At 46.9% G+C, this 17,779-nt stretch overlaps 1 protein-coding gene and 1 long non-coding RNA gene across 5 annotated transcripts in view; one reads left to right on the top strand and one right to left on the bottom strand.

Moving 5' to 3' along the window:
* Nucleotides 1-17,779, bottom strand: part of POFUT1 (protein O-fucosyltransferase 1) — a 30,779-nt gene that overhangs the window by 7,374 nt on the left and 5,626 nt on the right. For 2 of the 4 annotated variants that reach the window (NM_015352.2, XM_047440079.1), the window contains 4 exons: nucleotides 15,834-16,016; nucleotides 14,564-14,676; nucleotides 2,830-3,022; nucleotides 224-466 (listed from right to left, as the gene is read on the bottom strand). In NM_015352.2, coding sequence (NP_056167.1) covers nucleotides 224-466; nucleotides 2,830-3,022; nucleotides 14,564-14,676; nucleotides 15,834-16,016 — 732 coding nt within the window. Of the gene's footprint in view, nucleotides 1-223; nucleotides 467-2,829; nucleotides 3,023-8,451; nucleotides 8,653-13,361; nucleotides 14,278-14,563; nucleotides 14,677-15,833; nucleotides 16,017-17,779 lie in introns of those variants that run through there. The other 2 variants (XR_007067447.1, NM_172236.2) reach the window with 2 other exon arrangements.
* Nucleotides 244-6,916, top strand: LOC124904884 (uncharacterized). Its single transcript, XR_007067560.1, has 2 exons — nucleotides 244-531; nucleotides 2,326-6,916. It is a non-coding gene; the product is annotated as an uncharacterized LOC124904884 (long non-coding RNA).

Genomic DNA, 17,779 nt, shown 5'->3' with positions numbered 1-17,779 from the left:
TCCCAGCAGGGATACGTGAGCTCCAGGAGTGGATGAAAACCTGGAAAGACTACGGAGGAGGCCTCTGAGCTGGGGTTTGAAGGAGGGTAGGAACTGAAGAGGAATGGTAGGTCCAGGCAAAAGGCTTGTAGGGGAGCCCGTGAAGCATGCAGTGGGCAGTGGGACCATCCTGGCTCCTCCTTTCATTCCCTTCCTACTGCACTCCCACTTGGCCCACACATACCTTCCCTTTGAAGAGCTGTTGGAGCTCAGGCACATAACTCTCGGAATCAGTAGCAACGTAGACCGACTGGGCATCCAGCGACCTCACCCAGAGCTTCACAGCCCTCTGGATCTCCTTCAGGTCAGGCAGGCACATAGTCATCGTGAGGGGGGCCGCTGTGCTGCGGCTGTAGCCCACACACTGCGGAGAGGCCATGAAGTGCGAGCCTGCAGTCCCGTCCTTCAGCATGGCACAGGCGTTCTTCTACGGAGAGCGGGGAACAGGGTTAAATACTGGCAACTGCCCTGGAACCCCAGAAGCAAGACCTGGTAAGTGGAAAAAGACAGGCTATACAGGAAGAACCTAACTACATTTTTTTTTTTTTTTTGAGACGGAGTCTCACTCTGTCACCCAGGCTGGAGTGCAGTGGTGTGATCTCCACTCACTGCAACCTCCGCCTCTGGGGTTCAAGCAATTCTCCTGCCTCAGCCTCCCGAGTAGCTGGAACTACAGGCACCCGCCACCATGCCCGGCTACTTTTTGTATTTTTAGTAGAGATGGAGTTTTGCCATGTTGGCCAGGCTGGTCTTGAACTCCTGACCTCAGGTGACCCACCCACCTTGGCCTCCCAAAGTGCTGAGATTACAGGCATGAGCAGCCGTGCCTGGCCTAACTACATTTTTTTTTTTTTTTTTTGAGAGGGAGTCTTGCTCTGTCGCCCAGGCTGGAGTGCAGTGGTGTGATCTCTGCTCGCTGCAAGCTCCACCTCCTGGGTTCACGCCATTCTCCTGCCTCAGCCTCCCAAGTAGCTGGGACTACAGGTGCCCACCACCACGCCCAGCTAATTTTTTGTATTTTTAGTAGAGACGGGGTTTCACCACGTTAGCCAGGATGGTCTTGATCTCCTGACCTCGTGATCCGCCTGCCTCGGCCTCCCTGAGTGCTGGGATTACAGGCATGAGCCACCACGCCCAGCCTAACTACATTTTTAAAGAAAACACTGAGGACCAGGCGCAGTGCCTCGCACCTGTAATCCCAGCATCTTGGGAGGCCGAGGCAGGCTGATAGCTTGAGCTCAGGAATTGGAGACCAGTCTGGGCAACGTGGCAAAACCCCATCTCTACAAAAAATACAAAAATTAGCCAGGTGTGGTGATGTGCGCCTGTGGTCTCAGCTACCCAGGAGGCTGAGGTGGGAGGACCACCACCTGAGCCCAGAAGGTGGAGGATGCGGTGAACTGTGATTTTGCTTGCCACTGCACTCCAGCCTCGGCAATGGAGTGAGACTCTGTCTCAAAAAAAAAAGCATTGAAGGAGGAGGAGTTAACAGTGGTTCTTTCTGGGCGGTGGGCACAGCACAGAAAGCCTGGCATTTTGAAACAAAAATTACTTTTCTTGGTCTTACTGCATTATCTGGGACATTCACTGAATTCTGAACAGTGGCAGTACTAACGGGCAGCCTTATATGATTCCCAACTACAGTGGGAACACTTCCAATAGCTCCCCAGGAGGTATGCTATCTGCTGTGGTTTCGAGAGATAGCCTTTATCAAGTTAAGGTGGGTCCATTCTATTCCTGGTTAGTTATGAGTTTTTATCATGAACAGGTGGTGACTTTTATCAAATGCTTTCTTGGCCTCTATTGAGATGATCATATGATTTTTCTTCTTTGGGTGTTAATATAGTAAATTTGATTACATTCTTGCGATAGATTTTTACGTGTTTTGTGTTGTGTGCTAATATGTTATTGGCTTTGACCTGTTAATATTTCACTTAGGGCCTATGCATTTGTGTTCATAAGCAAGAACAGGCTATAATTTTCTGAGCTGACCTTATCTGAGTTTGGTATTAGTGTTATGCTAGCTTTATAAAAAATAGAATCTTATATCTCTTGATGTTGTAGGAAAGTATAGATGGGAATTACTATTCCTTGAATGTCTGGTTGGAGCCACTCATAAGACATCCTGGCTCTGGCTCCCTTTCTTTGTGGGGGCTGGGGGAAAGAGGAGAGTTTAGTGGGTAAATGTAAGATTACCTCATCAATTGGCTATGAGTGAATTTTAATTTTAGTATTTTTCAAGTTTTCTGCAATGAGCATTTCTAACATATCTATATATCTTCTTAGGTAAATCAAGGTGACCATCTATATTGATTCTGTTATTTTCACACAGAGGTGAAAACCTCATTGGAATACAAGGATTCTGCACATTTAAACAGCCTCCAAATTCTGTTAGGATGACATCTTCATTTCTTGGGAGCCATGCCTCATCTCCACAGTCAGTTTTTCAACACGGAGTCTACCAGCCAGACACTGAGCTAGGACAGGGGACTCCTGGACTGTGGCCTCTTTATGGCTTGCTGCCTGACCTGGGGTCTGGCTTGATCTCTCAGTTTATCCATCTGTAAAATGAGGATAAAAACAGCTGCTGCTAAAGTGAGACCTGGCTGGCAGGCACTCTGGAGTTACATTTTGATATGTGCTGCAGTGGGATGATGGGACACAATCCCACGAACCAGAACAAGTGAGAGATCTCTGCTCTGGCTGGGACGCGGGGCCGATCCCTACAGGCCAGGGCCATGCTCAGGGACACATCCAAGTTAGCCAGTGAGAGAGGAAGGGGGAAGTTACCCAGTCAGAGCCAATGCGCAGATGAATGCCCACATAGGGCCGGACAAGGTGGGCATGAATCTGGGCCTCTCCCGTCTTCACCATTTCGTCTGACCATACCATGTACTTCTGTAGTGGCCTGTGTTCCTCTAGGACGGGGAACTGGGCTGGGGCTCCTGGCAGGGCAAGCACCGGATGTTCCTTTGGAGAAAATCTAGACAGGAGATGGAATGAGGGAAGTCAGAGGACGCACAGAGAGCCTGGCTGCCACCCCCACGGGAAAAAGGATGGTGTTGCACCATGCCCCAGAGACCCTGCGGAGGGGCCCCTGCAACACGCAAGAAACACGAGAGGTTGTGAAATACCAACGGGCTGATAAGGAACCTTGGTGGCGGCGGCAACAGGCACAATATGCAATACTGTCCCGCCACATGGAATTTACAACCCTCTTTGCTTGTCGAACAATTAAAACTTTACAGGAGAGCATTCCAACCTTTTATATGTCACACTGGCTTCCAATCTGCGGTGCAGTAATTCATTCCAGGGTGGGGTGTCTGGACCAAGCCTTTGCCCTTTTACCTACATGGCAGGACTGGGACATGCAGCTGCTTACAGAAGCAACGGCCAGGTCACACTCACAGGGACTATGTATACTGGATTTGAATCATTCATTCAACATTTAAAAAACATTTATTGATTGCCTACTATGTATTGGGACCTGGAGGAAAACAAGACAGGCATAGTCCCTGCGCTATGGAAGGGAGCAGGGGTCTGCAGGTGCCCCTATCATGCCCTCCCAAGCCCCTGCTTCCCCCTCATACACAGTCCATCTCATAATTATTTCACCTCTGTCCTTGCTGTGGGAAGGCAGTGCTCCAGTATGCGCAGAATAGTGTCTGGCACACCCAAGAGCTTGGTAAATATTTTTCTTTTCTTTTTCTTTTTTGAGATAGGATCTTGCTGTCACCCAGGTGTCACCCAGGCTGGAGGGCAGTGGCGTGATCTCGGCTCACTGCAATCTCCGCCTCCAGGCTCAAGGCAAGACCTTCCCATCTCAGCCTCCTGAGTAGCTGGGACTACAGATAAGTGCCACCAGGCCCAGCTAATTTTTTACATTTTTTTTGTAGAGACGGGGTTTCGCCATGTTGCCCAGGCTGGTCTCGAACTCCTGGACTCAAGTGATCTGCCTACTTAGGCCTCCCAGTGTTGGGATTACAGGTGTGGGCCACCGCGCCCGGTCAATACTTCTTGACTGAACAAATGAGGAGCAAACCTGTGTTCCCTCTTCAGCTAAACCCAGACTACCTCTCAGCAGCACGAAACCCCTTGCTGTTCCATGTTCACAATGCACTTTCAAGTTCTAGATCTCTGTATACTTCTTCCCTCCAGCTGGAGGGGGGAAGTGCCTTCTGCCAGCCAAAATCCTTTCCTTAAAAGTATGAAATGGGAACAGCCATTCTGGAAAACAGTTTGGCAGTTAGGCATGCAGTTACATGACCCAGCAATTGTACTCTTAGGCATTTATTCAAGAAAAATGAAAACTTATGTTCACACAAGCCTATACACCAATGTCCCTTGCAGCTTTATTCATAAAATAGCCCCCAACTGGAAACAACCCAGACGTCACTCACAAGTAAACAGTTAAACAAACTGCTGTACCTCTGTATCATGGAATATGAACCCCACCAAAAAAAGGAACACAGTATCAATACAGGCAACAATTTGGATGATGTCAAGGGAATTATCCTTGGGTCAGGGAGGGTGGGCAATCTCAAAGGTTATGTATTGTATGGTTCCATTTATATAAACATTTTAAAACAATAGCATGGAGAAGAGATTAGTAGTTGGCAGAGGTTAGGAATGGGGTGTATATGTTTAGGGAGGTGGGTGTGGTTATAAACTGGCAACACAAGGATCCTTGTGATAATGGAACTGTTCAGTGTATTAACTATAGTAGTGGATACATAAACCCACACACGATAAAACTGCACAGAAATACACACACACACACACACACACACACAGGCATGCACTCACACACTCAGAAGTAAGTACAAGAAAACTGAGTAAGATGGGTAAATTGTATCAATGTCAATATCCTGGTTGTGATACTGTACTATAGTTTTGCAAAATGTTACCATTGGGGGAAATTGGGTAAAGGGTACATGGGAGGTTGCTGTCTTATTTCTTACAACTGCATGTAAATGTACAATGACCTCAATGAAAATTTCAAATAAAAACTATGAAATATTTCAAACCATCCAGGCAAATACAGAAAATAATTTAATAATTTATATACCCATGACCCAAATCAGCAGAAACTAACTTTGCTTTGTTTCAGGTTTAAAAACAAAACAAAACAAACAAAACAAAAAACACACACCTAAATACAAGCTCATCCTGCCATCATCCTTCCCAGAGGGTAATGTGTTTTAATGTATGATTGCACTTTTACTATAGACATCAAAAAGGAGGGGAGTGTTCTTCTGCGTGCTTTCTATGGAGTGGAATGATGAAGATTGTAGGTTAAGCCAGAATGCTTTGTTCCAATGTTGACTATGCCACTAGCTAACTTGGGCAGGTGACTTTACCACTCTGTGCCTTAGCTCCTCATCCACATAATAGAGATAACAGTTCCCACATCATAAAGCTGTTTTTTTGTTGTTGTTTTTGTTTTTTTTCAATTGTGGTTGGGTGTGGTGGCCACTTCTGTAATCCCAGCACTTTGGGAGGCTGAGGTGGGCAGATCACTTGAGCCCAGGAGTTCAAGACCAGCCTGGGGCAACATGGCAACACCCCATCTATCCAAAAATATCAAAAAATTAGCCAAGTGTTGTGGTGTGTGCCTGTGGTCTCAGCTACCTAGGAGGCTACATGGGAAAATCGCTTGAGCCTGGAAGGTTGAGGCTGCAGTCAGCCATGATCGTGCCACTGCACTCCAGCCAGGGTGGGAGGGTGAGACCTTGTCTCAAAAAAAATTTAAAAAAGTTGACCGGGCGCGGTGGCTCACGCCTGTAATCCTAGAACTTTGGGAAGCCAAGGTAGGTGGATCACGAGGTCGGGAGATCGAGACCATCCTGGCTAACACGGCGAAACCCCGTCTCTACTAAAAATACAAAAAATTAGCCACACGTCGTGGTGGGCACCTGTAATCCCAGCTACTTGGGAGGCTGAGGCAGGAGAATGGCGAACCTGTGAGACAGAGCTTGCAGTGAGCTGAGATCGTGCCACTGCACTCCAGCCTGGGCAACAGAGCAAGACTCCGTCTCAAAAAATAATAATAAAAATAAAAAATAAAAAAAGGTTGTATATATTTACGATATACAATATGATATTTTGATCTACATGTATGTAGTTAAATGAATAGTACAGCCAAGCTAATTAATATATCCATTTATAGGGCTACTGAGAGGATTAATGTATTATCAAAGCAAAGCATTTAGAACAGTACCTTGGCACACAGAAAGCTCTCAAAGAATTCTAGCTCTTATCATCATCACATTGCATGTAACCTAGTTAAAGGTTACATATAAATCTAATCAACTTTCTAAAAATTCAACTTTATGTTTCAGAGACTTGGCCATGTTGATCATGTGGATCATGTGGTTGTATTAGCTTCTCTAAAAGTTTTCCATTTTGTACAAATAAACTGCAATTTACCTACCTATTTCCCTCTTGCTAGACAGTGAGGTCGTTCCAATCTTTCCCTCACACAACAGTGCTGTGACAGACATGCCACTCATTCTCCACACCCAACAGAGACTGCTTGCTCAGCAAACACCTTCCACACCTCCAAGGTCAGTCGCAATTCCCAAGCCTCACCTCCTTAGGGAGTGTTCCCTGTCCCACTTCTCTTGCTGCCTTCTGCACAATGATATGCCCTGCAGCCACTTTCCCTGCCCATGGAACTGTCAGCTGGTGAGGCTGGGGACCCAAGCAGCCTGTTTGCCATTGCTCCCACATACGCTATCCAAGGCCTGTGTCACTTACACAGGCCTCGGACCAGTGACAAGAAAGTGTTCCTTGATGGTCCAGCTGTGCGACACTTATCTTGCTAGACTCTAGTTTTCTTTCCTTTTTTTTTTGAGATGGAGTCTTGCTCTGTCACCCAGGCTGGAGTGCAGCGGCGTGATCTTGGTTCACTGCAACCTCCGCCTCCCAGGTTCAAGTGATTCTCTTACCTCAGCCTCCTGCGTAGCTGGGATTACAGGCACGTGCCACCATGCCCGGCTAATTTTTGTATTTTTAGTAGAGACGGGTTTTCGCCATGTTGCCCAGGCTGGTCTCAAACTCCTGACCTCAGAAGATCCGCCCGCCTCAGCCTCCCAAAGTGTTGGGATTACAGGCGTGAGCCACCGCGCCTGGCCTAGACTCCAGTTTTGTTTATATGTACATAATTGTGCATTGTTTATTGGGCCTCATTATGTGATAGGCAATGCTCCAATTGTTTGTGTATATTAAGTCATTTGATTTTCACAAGAGCTCTGTAAGGGAAGTATTACTGTCATTCTCATTTTACAGGTGAGGAAACTGAGGCACAGAGGTTAAGTAACGTGCCCAAGGTTGCACAGCTAGGAATTGGTGGAGCCAGGATTTAAATCCAGGCAGTGTGCTCCAGATCCTATGTTCTTAACTACTACCCCTTACTCCCATCTCCCCCACCCTTGACAATGAGCTGAGTCTGTGGCTTAATCTTCTGATTCCCAGCCCCAGCATGGACCTTATCACATGGTAGGCATGATAAATATTTTTAGAATAAATGAGAAAGATTTGGGGACCTCACCAGAAAGACCCGATCAGGCTGTCAGGGGTTAGAGAAGGAAGGAATTCATATTACCTGAGTAGCTACTATAGGCCAGGTCTTCAGCTAATCTTTCAGATGCTACCTCAAAAGGATTTTCAAAGGAAAGCCAGAGTAGATCTCCCAGTGGGGCTGGAATATCAGGATAAAACCAGGATCTGCGGCCCCCTGCCACCCCCCGACCTCTTGGAAAGCACCTGCAGCCAACCTTCGGTGAATTCCAGACTTGGAATGTGTGTCCCCTCTACCTGGATCTGGACCAGCAAAGAGCTGTCCCAGTGGGACAACATCAGCTCAGACCCAACAAGCAGCAAGAGGCTAAGGCTGATCTGCTCACTTACTTTTGGTGAGGTAAGACAGCGCTGTCTGGAAAGAATGAGGGGGGAACAGGGATCTTGGCTGGAAAGAAAATCTTGACCAGCACCACCTCCCGGTGACTGCTCACCCTTGGTCAGGCCCTTTGCCTCTTGCTATCCAGCTGAAGTCAGCTGGCTTTCCTGCTGCTGGGCCCAGTGAACCTCTGGGATTCTTCACCACCATGCCTGTGCTGCTGAGATTCTCCAACAAACTAGGACTTCTCTGTATACAGCATCCATTTATGTGTCCAGTATGTATCTGTGGGACCACCAGTGGATGAAACCCATATTGAGTGCAGAAGACCCAGGGACATGAACAAGGCAGGGCTTTGTTCTGGATGTCCCTGCCATGAAGGACTGCCTTTCCCTCCAGCTCTCTGCATGGCTGGCTCCCTCTCACTCTTCCAGTCTCATTCTGGTTCCCACAGGGAGGTGGCAGCCTGGGAGAATGACAAGCCATGCGCTCAAATTCCTGGACCATTATACCTGAGAATGGTTTGGCACGATGGTGCATTGCCTTCCAATAGTCAATGTGCAGTAAGCGTCAGCTGAATTAGAGCTGTGCCAGGCTATTCACAGGCTCAGAACGAGCAGAGCTGGAAGGATCCTCAGAAATCACGTGGTAAAGAAGAAATACCTCTTATCCTCTTTCCCTCGAACCCAGTTTTCAGCTGGATACGTGGCAGCCTAAAATAAAGACACTTCTTATCAGCCAAACATACCCCGGGCGAGGTGGGGGAAAGAAAAAGAAAGACAGACATTTCTAAGTACTTCTTGCAGCTAGGTATGGCCCATGTGCCCTCGTACTAGCCAATGAGATGTAAGCAAAAGGGTTATAATGGACTTCCGGGAAGGCTTCTTAAAAAGGGAGGACATGCCCTTTCGCAACTTTTGTTCCTCCAGTTGGGATGTGATGGCTGGAGCTTCATCTGCCATCTTGGCCCATGAGGTGATAGAAAAGCTAATACTGGATGGCTGAACAAAGAGATGGAAGCCTGATTCTTTTTCTCTTTTTTTGAGGCGAAGTCTCACTCTGTCACCCAAGCTAGAGTGCAGTGGCAGGATCTCCGCTCACTGCAACCTCCGCCTCCCAGGTTCAAGTGATTCTCCTGCCTTGGCCTCCTGAGTAGCTTGGATTACAGGTGTGTGCCACCATGCACGGCTAAATTTTTTTTGGTATTTTTGGTAGAGACAGGGTTTCACCATGTTGGCCAGGTTGGTCTTGAACTCCTGACCTCAAGTGATCCGCCTGCCTCTGCCTCCCAAAGTGCTGGGATTACAGGTGTGAGCCACTCTACCCAGCTGGATTCTTGATGACACTATGGAGCTGGCATTCAGCTCTGGACTGCATACCCAGATCTTCTTTTACTTAAGAAAACAATAAACCCTATCAATCTGCTCTTATTTCGGGCTTCCTGCTACCTGTAGCCTAACTTAAGTCTGACACACCTAGACTTGTAGCCTACAAACTTCTTCTGCCTTACTGAGAACCCTGATATATTTAAGGGTTATTGGTTGAAGGCAATAGGGAGGAAGAATTGAGCCCCTGGAACTTGGTCCCCTACTGCTACCCCCCATAAAGGCCCTAGAGGCATTTTTTTTTTTTAAGATGGTCTCAATCTGTTGCCCAGGCTGTAGTGCAGTGGACAGATCATGGGTTCACTGCAGCCATGACTTCCTCAGGCTCACCTGATCCTCCCACCTCAGCCTCCCAAGTAACTGGAACTACAGGTATGCGCCACCATGCCTGGCTAATTTTTTCTATTTTTTGTAGAGATGGGGTCTCCCTACGTTGCCCAGGCTGGTCTTGAACTCCTGGGCTCAAGCGATCACCTGCCTCAACCTCTCTGTAATCCCTTAGGATTACAGGTGTGAGCCACTATGCCTGACAAGCACTTCTTGAAAACTCTGAAGATAGTTTCAAAACCACTCATCGTGCCCATCCCCTTCATTTTATAGATGGGACATTGAGGCCAGAGAAGGGGAGCAGCTGCCTAATCGCACAGTAAGGCTGGGAAGAGCTTCACTCTCTGATTCCATTCTTCTCTTCTCCCCAAGGACAAATATGCATAGCAAGGAAGTATCCTGTATCTTAAGAAATGTTTAATGTTAAATGTTCATACACATTCAAATTCATCCCTACTAATCATTCACAGGCTTCTTAACAGATTGCCTCACAGGGCCTATAAACCCGCGTGTTTTGACCCCTGCCCACCTCTCTGATCTCTTTTCCCGTGTGGCAGATTAGAAGTGGTCAAGTCTTTGAACCCCTTCCCATTAGGTGGGCTCTGCCTCCTCCCAATAGCACCCGACAGAAGTGACACTGTGCCGGTTTCCAGATTCAGTTGTTAGGGAGCCCGCAGTTTCTATTTCCTGTCTCTTGGGACACTCACTCCCTGGATGCTCCCTCTCAGAACACAGGTGCCATGCTGTAAGAAGCCCAAGCCACATGGAGAGGTCAAGTGTATACATGCTTCTTGGTGGCCCCAGCTTGGCTCCCAGATGACAGCAGCATCACCCACCAGACATGAGGGGGACTTCCTGGATATGTAGCTCAGTCAAGCCTTTTTTTTTTTTTTGAGACAGTTTCACTCTGCTGCCCAGGCTGGGATGCAGTGGCACAATCTCGGCTCACTGCAACCTCAGCCTCCTAGGTTCAAGTGATTCTTATGCCTCAGCCTCCTGAGTAGCTGGGATTACAGGTGTGTGCCACCACGCCCAGCTAATTTTTTATATTTTTAGTAGAGATGGGGTTTTGGCATGTTGGCCAGGCTGGTCTTGAATTCCTGGGCTCAAGTGATCCACCCGCCTCAGCCTCCCAAAGTGCTGGGATTACAGGTGTAAGCCATTGCACGCAGCCTTGGTCAAGCCTTTAGATAACTTGAGCCCTGGATGGGCATGGTGGCTCATGATGTAATCCCAGCACTTTGGGAGGCCAAGGCAGGATAATTACTTGAGGCCAAGAGATCAAGACCAACCTGAGCAACAGAGCATGATCCCCACCCATCTCTACCAAAAAAGGATAACTTGAGCCCTAGCTGACAGCTGACTGCAGCCACATGAGACCACAAGCAATAACTGCCCAGCTAACTCAAGTGTCCATCAATAGATGAAGAGATACACAAATGTGGTATATACATACGATGAACTATTATTCAGCCTTAAAAGGACTAAAATTTTGATACAGGCTACAACACTGATGAATCTTGCCACATGAAATATGCCACATGAAATAAGCCAGACACAAAAAGATAAATATTGCATGATTCCACTTCTATGAGATACCTAAGTACCTATGAGATAGCTAGAGAAATTCAAAGACAGAAAGTAGAAAAGCATTTACTGAGGCTATTCATTGCAAGAATAAAGGTTATTCGTTCCAAGAAATAAGATGTTTAACCTGAATTTAAACTTTGTACAGCAGGGATTCCATAAGAAAACGGAAAAATGAAAACCCAAAAGAATTGCCCAGCTAAGCCCAGTTAACCCACAGTCCCATGAGAAATAATAATAACTTGTTGTTGGCCGGGCGCGGTGGCTCACGCCTGTAATCCCAGCACTTTGGGAGGCCGAGGCGGGTGGATCACAAGGGCAAGAGATCGAGACCATCCTGGCTAACACGGTGAAACCCCGTCTCTACTAAAAATACAAAAAAATCAGCCGGGCGTGGTGGCGGGCGCCTGTAGTCCCAGCTACTTGGGAGGCTGAGGCAGGAGAATGGCATGAACCCGGGAGGTGGAGCTGGCAGTGAGCCGAGACTCCAGCCTTGGTGACAGAGTGAGATTCCGTCTCAAAAAAAAAAAAAAAAAAACTTGTTGTTATGCTACTACGTTTTGTAGTGATTTATTATGCAGCAACAGATAAGAGCAACATCCTACCATTCTCTCACTCACTCCATACCACATTGCCTTCTTTCTGCTCCTTCACCATACCAAGCTTATTCCTGCCTCAGGGTCTTTGCTCCTGACTTCCTGCTGTGAACTACTTTTCCTCTAACTCTGACACAACTGGCTCCTTCTCATCCTTCTGGTCTTAGCCCTGCCAATCACATACCACCTGTTTATATCCTTCTAAGCACCATCTCACTCTGGAACTATCCTATGTAAAAGTTTATTCACTATCTCCCCTGTTAGACTATGAGTTCCATTGGGGCAGGGACCTTATCTGCCTTATTCTGGCCTTGTTCATTCCCTGCCTTGTTCATGTCCTTATTCTGGCCTATATCCCCAGCATCCAAACCAGCCCTTGACACTCAGGAAGTGCTTCTTAAATATGTGTTGAAGGAAGACAGGCAGCTGCCAAGGGACCATCAACTCCCTCAAACTCCCTCTAGGGACCTCATCTTCCCTACTAATTTTCCTTTCCCAAAAACTTGGCTGTAAGGCACAAACTTCTTCAAACCCTCATGTAATTCTTACAACTCAATGAACTCAAACAAAGCTATGGGGCAATAAACAAGTGTTTCAACAACACTCCCCATGCACCATTGTCCTTTCTCTTCCTACTAGGATTGTGTGCTTTTTCTAGCTTTTTGGAATTTGCTTTTGGAGTTGCTTTTAGAGTTGGTGGCTTTTTTTTCTTTCTTTTTTTCCTGGCATATTGTCAATATGGGCAAATCTCCATCCTTTGAGGGCAGGTCTGCCTTCTGGCAATAGCTCCAGGTCATTCGGAGGTGAATGGGGGAGAACCATGCAGGCAGAGAATGGGAGTGTGCTATCTGGGATCAACAATGAGGAAGATTTAAATCTGCCATGACTGAGGATCCTCAGTGGCACATGAACTAGGTCCAAAGCTAGGTCCAAAGGCAAGTCCCAGAAGGGAACTGGCAGCTGTTAAAGGCACAGCTATTTAATCCACTGTGATTAAGAACAGGTGCTTTGGGACTGGGCGCAGCAGCTCATGCTTGTAATCCCAGCACTTTGGGAGGCTGAGGTGGGAGGATCACTTGAGGCCAGGAGTTTAAGACCAGCCTGGGCAACATAGCAAGACCCTGTTTGTACAAAACAAAACAAAATATTCGTCAGGCATGGTGGCACATGCCTGCACTCCCAGCTGCTTGGGAGGCGGAGCGGGGAGGATTGCTTGAGCCCAGGGATTTGAGGTTATAGTGAGTTATGATCATGCTACTGTACTCCAGCCTGGGAGACAAGCAAGACCCATTTCAAATATAAATATATAAAGTAACTGGTGCTTTGGATTCAGACTTCTGGGTTCAAAACCAAGCTCTGCAACTTCAAGCTTTATGACCTTGGGCAAGGGACCTTATTCCTTTCTGCTTCAATTTCTCTAAGTGTAAAGCACAGATGGCAGTAACAACCCACAGACTCAGGGAAAGATTAAGTGAGTCAATACCTGTGAAGACTTAGAACAGTGTCTGGCACATAGAAGACACTAAATGAATCTTAGCTGTTGTTATTTATTAAAGATTTACAAACAGACCTGAGCTGTCCACTCAACAGCTCAATGACCTTGGGAAGTTATTTAACTTCACTGGGCTCAGTTTCCTCACCTATAAAATGGAAATTGATAATAATACCCACTTCATGAACTATCTCAAAGTCTTAAATAAAATAAAGCATGTGAGTAATAACACTGACAGCCAACACTGGCTGGCTGCTTAGTGTATGACATGCACTTCATGCACTACGAGGCAGATACCATCAGCGCTGGCTATCTCACTCCTTGGCCTGTGCTTGTTTTGTTTTGCTGAGACAGGCCCTTGCTCTGTAACCTGGGCTGGAGTGCAGGGGTACCATCATGGCTCACTGCAGCCTTGATCTCTTAGGCTCAAGTGATCCACCCACCTTGGCCTCCCAAAGTGCTGGGATTACAGGCATGAGACTCATTTCTCTACATCTGTTTACCTTTGCCCTATTAAATGCCAAGTGCTTTGACCGCACATGAATTAGTATGTTCCCTGCACCTCCTAACCAATGTCTGCCTTCTAAGCCCATGGTCTTTCCTGCCATGCTATAACATTAAGGACAAGTACACTATGCTGATTATTGTCATTATGAGACCATAGCTCCTAGAAAACCAGAGCTGGTCATCCTCATTTTCACACATCACCATTGGCCTCTGATTACTATGTCTCACACGTGACAGGCGCCCTATAAATGTTTCACGGCCTGTGCCCACGTCCTGCTAACCTATATTTTTTAAAAACAGGGGCTAATGGGGTGCAATTAATAAACACGTCCAATAATTATCAGGATGACGTCATTTCTCGGTCTGCACCTGAAGCTGTTCTCTAGAAGCTGCTTCCAGTTTCACCTTGGGAAGAGTAAGGTAACACAGGAGTGATTCTCACGCCTAGAGGAGGAAATTGAGACTCATGCGACTGCAGAATGTTCTTTTTATGACATCCCTTATCAACCGATGAACTCTTTCTCAATCTCATGGCGGGTCAATGTTCCACCGTGTCAGGCGTGGACATGGGAACAGATCACACAGGATTCCAAGTTCAACAGACAGAGCACCTGCACCTTTGGTCTCATACATCAGAGTTGGGAAGATGGGGAGAGTGCCAGAAGGTGCTGAATGCTCATGAGCTCCATGCGCCTCCCCTAAACCCAGAAACGCTACCCCCTCCAAGTACCTCTGGCTCCATTGTTCTCTGTAGGAAGCACTGAAGGAAATGCCTGTAAAAAGCTCCGACTTGTTGAAACTCACATGAAACTGATCCCAGAATGGGCCAAAGGGGTTTCCTTCCTGCAGAAAGAGAGTGGTGGAAGGCTTACTGATGGGGAGGGAAAGCCATTTGGGGATGGGGCCAGGGAAGTGTAGGTGGGGGAAGCTGGGTGATGTGACTCAGGCCAAAACACTCTCACAGGATGGCCTAGGAGAAATGTCACTCTGCAATTCCTAGGCCAGGGGCTGAGCAGAGTGCCGTGGCTTCAATTCTGGATTCCAGCAGGAGAGTCTTTCCTGTTCACATGTCACATCCTGCTGACCCAGCAGCACTGATGAGGGTCTGGGGAGAAGCAGACCTTGGATTTTGAACCAAGGACTAGAGCTTCAAGAGACATTCAAGATTGGCTAATCCAATGCCTTCATTTTCAAGGTGGAAACCAAGGCCCACTGAGGGTCAGACACTTACCCAAGGTTACACAGCCAGTAAGGGCACTGTTGGGGCTGTGAGCTAGGTCTCCTTTCTCAAATTTCATAGTTCTTCCAACCACTTTCCCAAGACTTTAGCACATACACCGAAAGACATACTTGGGGGTTTATTTCCAAAGTGCCAGAAATGTATAAATTTCTTTTAATAAGATATGACAGCCTCTCATTTACCTGCTGAGATGCAGGAAGGTATTCAAGTTAAGTGGGTAGACAATGGTGCCAAATTACCTAAGGTTGAATCCCAGCTCTACCACTTGTTTGCTGTGTGATCCTGGGTAAGACACTGACCCTCTCTGTGCCATCCTCGGTGTCCTCTCTATGAAGTGGGGATATTATAAGTATTTTCCTCATGGAACAGTGTGAGTATTAAATGAGTTGATACATGTAAAGCTCTTAGCGTGGTACCTGACATACATAGTAAGTGCTACATGAATATTAGTTATTATTACTGATGTGGCACTTTGCAGTTTACAAGCACTTTTTCACCTGGCCCTCATGACACTTTAGGAGTGAGACAGAGCAGGGACTGGCATCTCTATTTTGTAGGTAGAAATGAAGGTTCAGAGAAGCAAAGTCTTCTGCCCAAGGTGATGCAGCTTCGCTAACAAATGCCAGAAACAGGACTTAAATCTCCATCTTTCTATTCTAAGTCCTTCTGGTGCTTTTCCCCACATTTTGCCATGACATAGTCTTGGGGGCCTAGAGGACATGGAACAGGAAGAAAGGGCCCCCGAACCCACAGGACCCACCTTCATGGGGCACGTCTTCTTATCTGGGCTTCGCTGGGCTGCCACCTCAAAGCAGTATGCCACCCGCTTCTCAGGGGGCCAGTGGGTGGGTGCCAGCTTCTCCATGAAATCCTCCAAGCTGATGACCCGATGGTAAGCCTGGAGGGGCTCCAGCTTGAAGTACTTCTGGTAGGACACATGGAGCTACAGGAAAAGGAGGAGCAGAGGTCCCGTCTCAGTGCCCCCGTGGCTACTTTAGACATTTATTAAAACAATACACTCCAGGCCAGGTGCAGTGGCTCACGCCTGTAATCCCAGCACTTTGGGAGGATAAGGCGGGCGGATCACTTGAGGTCAGGAGTTCGAGACCAGCCTGGCCAACATGGTGAAACCCTGTCTTTACTAAAATACAAGAAAATTAGCTGGGGGTGGTAGCGAGCACCTGTAGTCCCAGCTACTGGGGAGACTGAGGTAGGAGAACTGCTTGAACCCAGGAGGTGGAGGTTGCTTGCAGTGAGCCAAGATTGTGCCACTGGACTCCAGCTTGGACGACAGAGCAAGACTCCGTCTCAAAAAAACAAAAACACTCCAAGACCAAGACAGTTCAGACTACATGACAATTAAAAGTTTTCATCAAAAGACGCCAAAGCTAGGATAGACAGGCTAGCAGGAGAGTCTGCAAACTAAAGAACAAACAGTAACATCCCTTGTGTTAAAAAACACCTGCTGATCTGTAACAAAAAAAGACAAATAATGCCAAGATAAAACACAGGCAAAGGTTAGGGGTAAACAATTCACAGCAAAGGAAACCCAAATAGCCAACACACTCAGAAGATGTCTAACCTCATTAGTAATTAGGAAAAAGCAAATTACAATTATAACGAGGCATCAATTACTTCTCACTCATGAGACTAGCAAAAACTGAAAAGCTTAACTTGTGGGGAAATGCGCACTCTTCTACACGGCCGGTAGCAGAAGTCTACATTTTGGAGCAACCAGTTTGGGATCCAATCGGTGAGTATCTAATAGAATTTAAAATGCTCCTTCTGGCCAGGTGTGGTAGCTCATGTCTGTAATCTCAGCACTTTGGGAGGCCGAGGTAGAAGGATCACTTGAGGCCAGGAGTTCAAGACCAGCCTAGACAACATAGCGAGACCCTGTCTCTACAAAAAATAAAAAAATTAGCTGGGCGTGGTGGTGCACATCTGTAGTCCCAGCTACTAGGGAGGCTGAGATGGAAGGATTTCTTGCATTCAGGAGGGTGAGGCTTCAGTGATGTGTGACTGTGCCACTGTACTCTAGCCTGGGCCACAGAGTGAGACTCTGTCTCAAAAAAAAAATTTTTTTTTTTTAATGTACCTTCCTCTTCTAACTATTTGCTCTAGAGAAGTACAGAAGTTCTTGCACTTTGGACCTGGAGATCAGTACCAGGATGCTCAGTGCCACAATGAAAGTATAGGAAGGAACATCAAAGGAGTCACACCAAATACACTATATCCACAACAGTTGTTAAGGGAACAGGGTTAGCCCCAGGGGCCAAAAAGAGACTTCATCTTTTACCAACTTTATCTGTAACGCTTTATTTCTTTTATTAACAAAAAGAGAAGATGAAACAAACATGAGAAAGTGTTAACAATTATCACTTCTAATGGTGGGTATATGGTTGGTGGTTGTATTCATCTGTGTAATTTTCTTTTTTTTTGAGATGGAGTCTCACCCTGTCACCCAGGCTGGAGTGCAATGGCGTGATCTCAGCTCACTGCAACCTCCCCCTCCCAGGTTCAAGCGATTCTCCTGCCTCAGCCTCCCGAGTAGCTGGGATTGCAGGCACGCACCACCACGCCGGCTAATTTTTTGTATCTATAGTAGAGATGGGGTTTCACCATTTTGGCCAGGCTGGTCTCAAACTCCTGACCTCGTGATCTGTCCACCTCGGTCTCCCAAAGTGCTGGGATTACAGGCGTGAG

Source organism: Homo sapiens, chromosome 20 (genome assembly GCF_000001405.40).
Source record: "Homo sapiens chromosome 20, GRCh38.p14 Primary Assembly".
In the NCBI taxonomy this organism is placed as follows: Eukaryota; Metazoa; Chordata; class Mammalia; order Primates; family Hominidae; genus Homo; species Homo sapiens.
The sequence above is the reverse complement of the archived record's forward strand: the minus strand, read 5'-3'. Positions and strand labels throughout refer to the sequence as shown.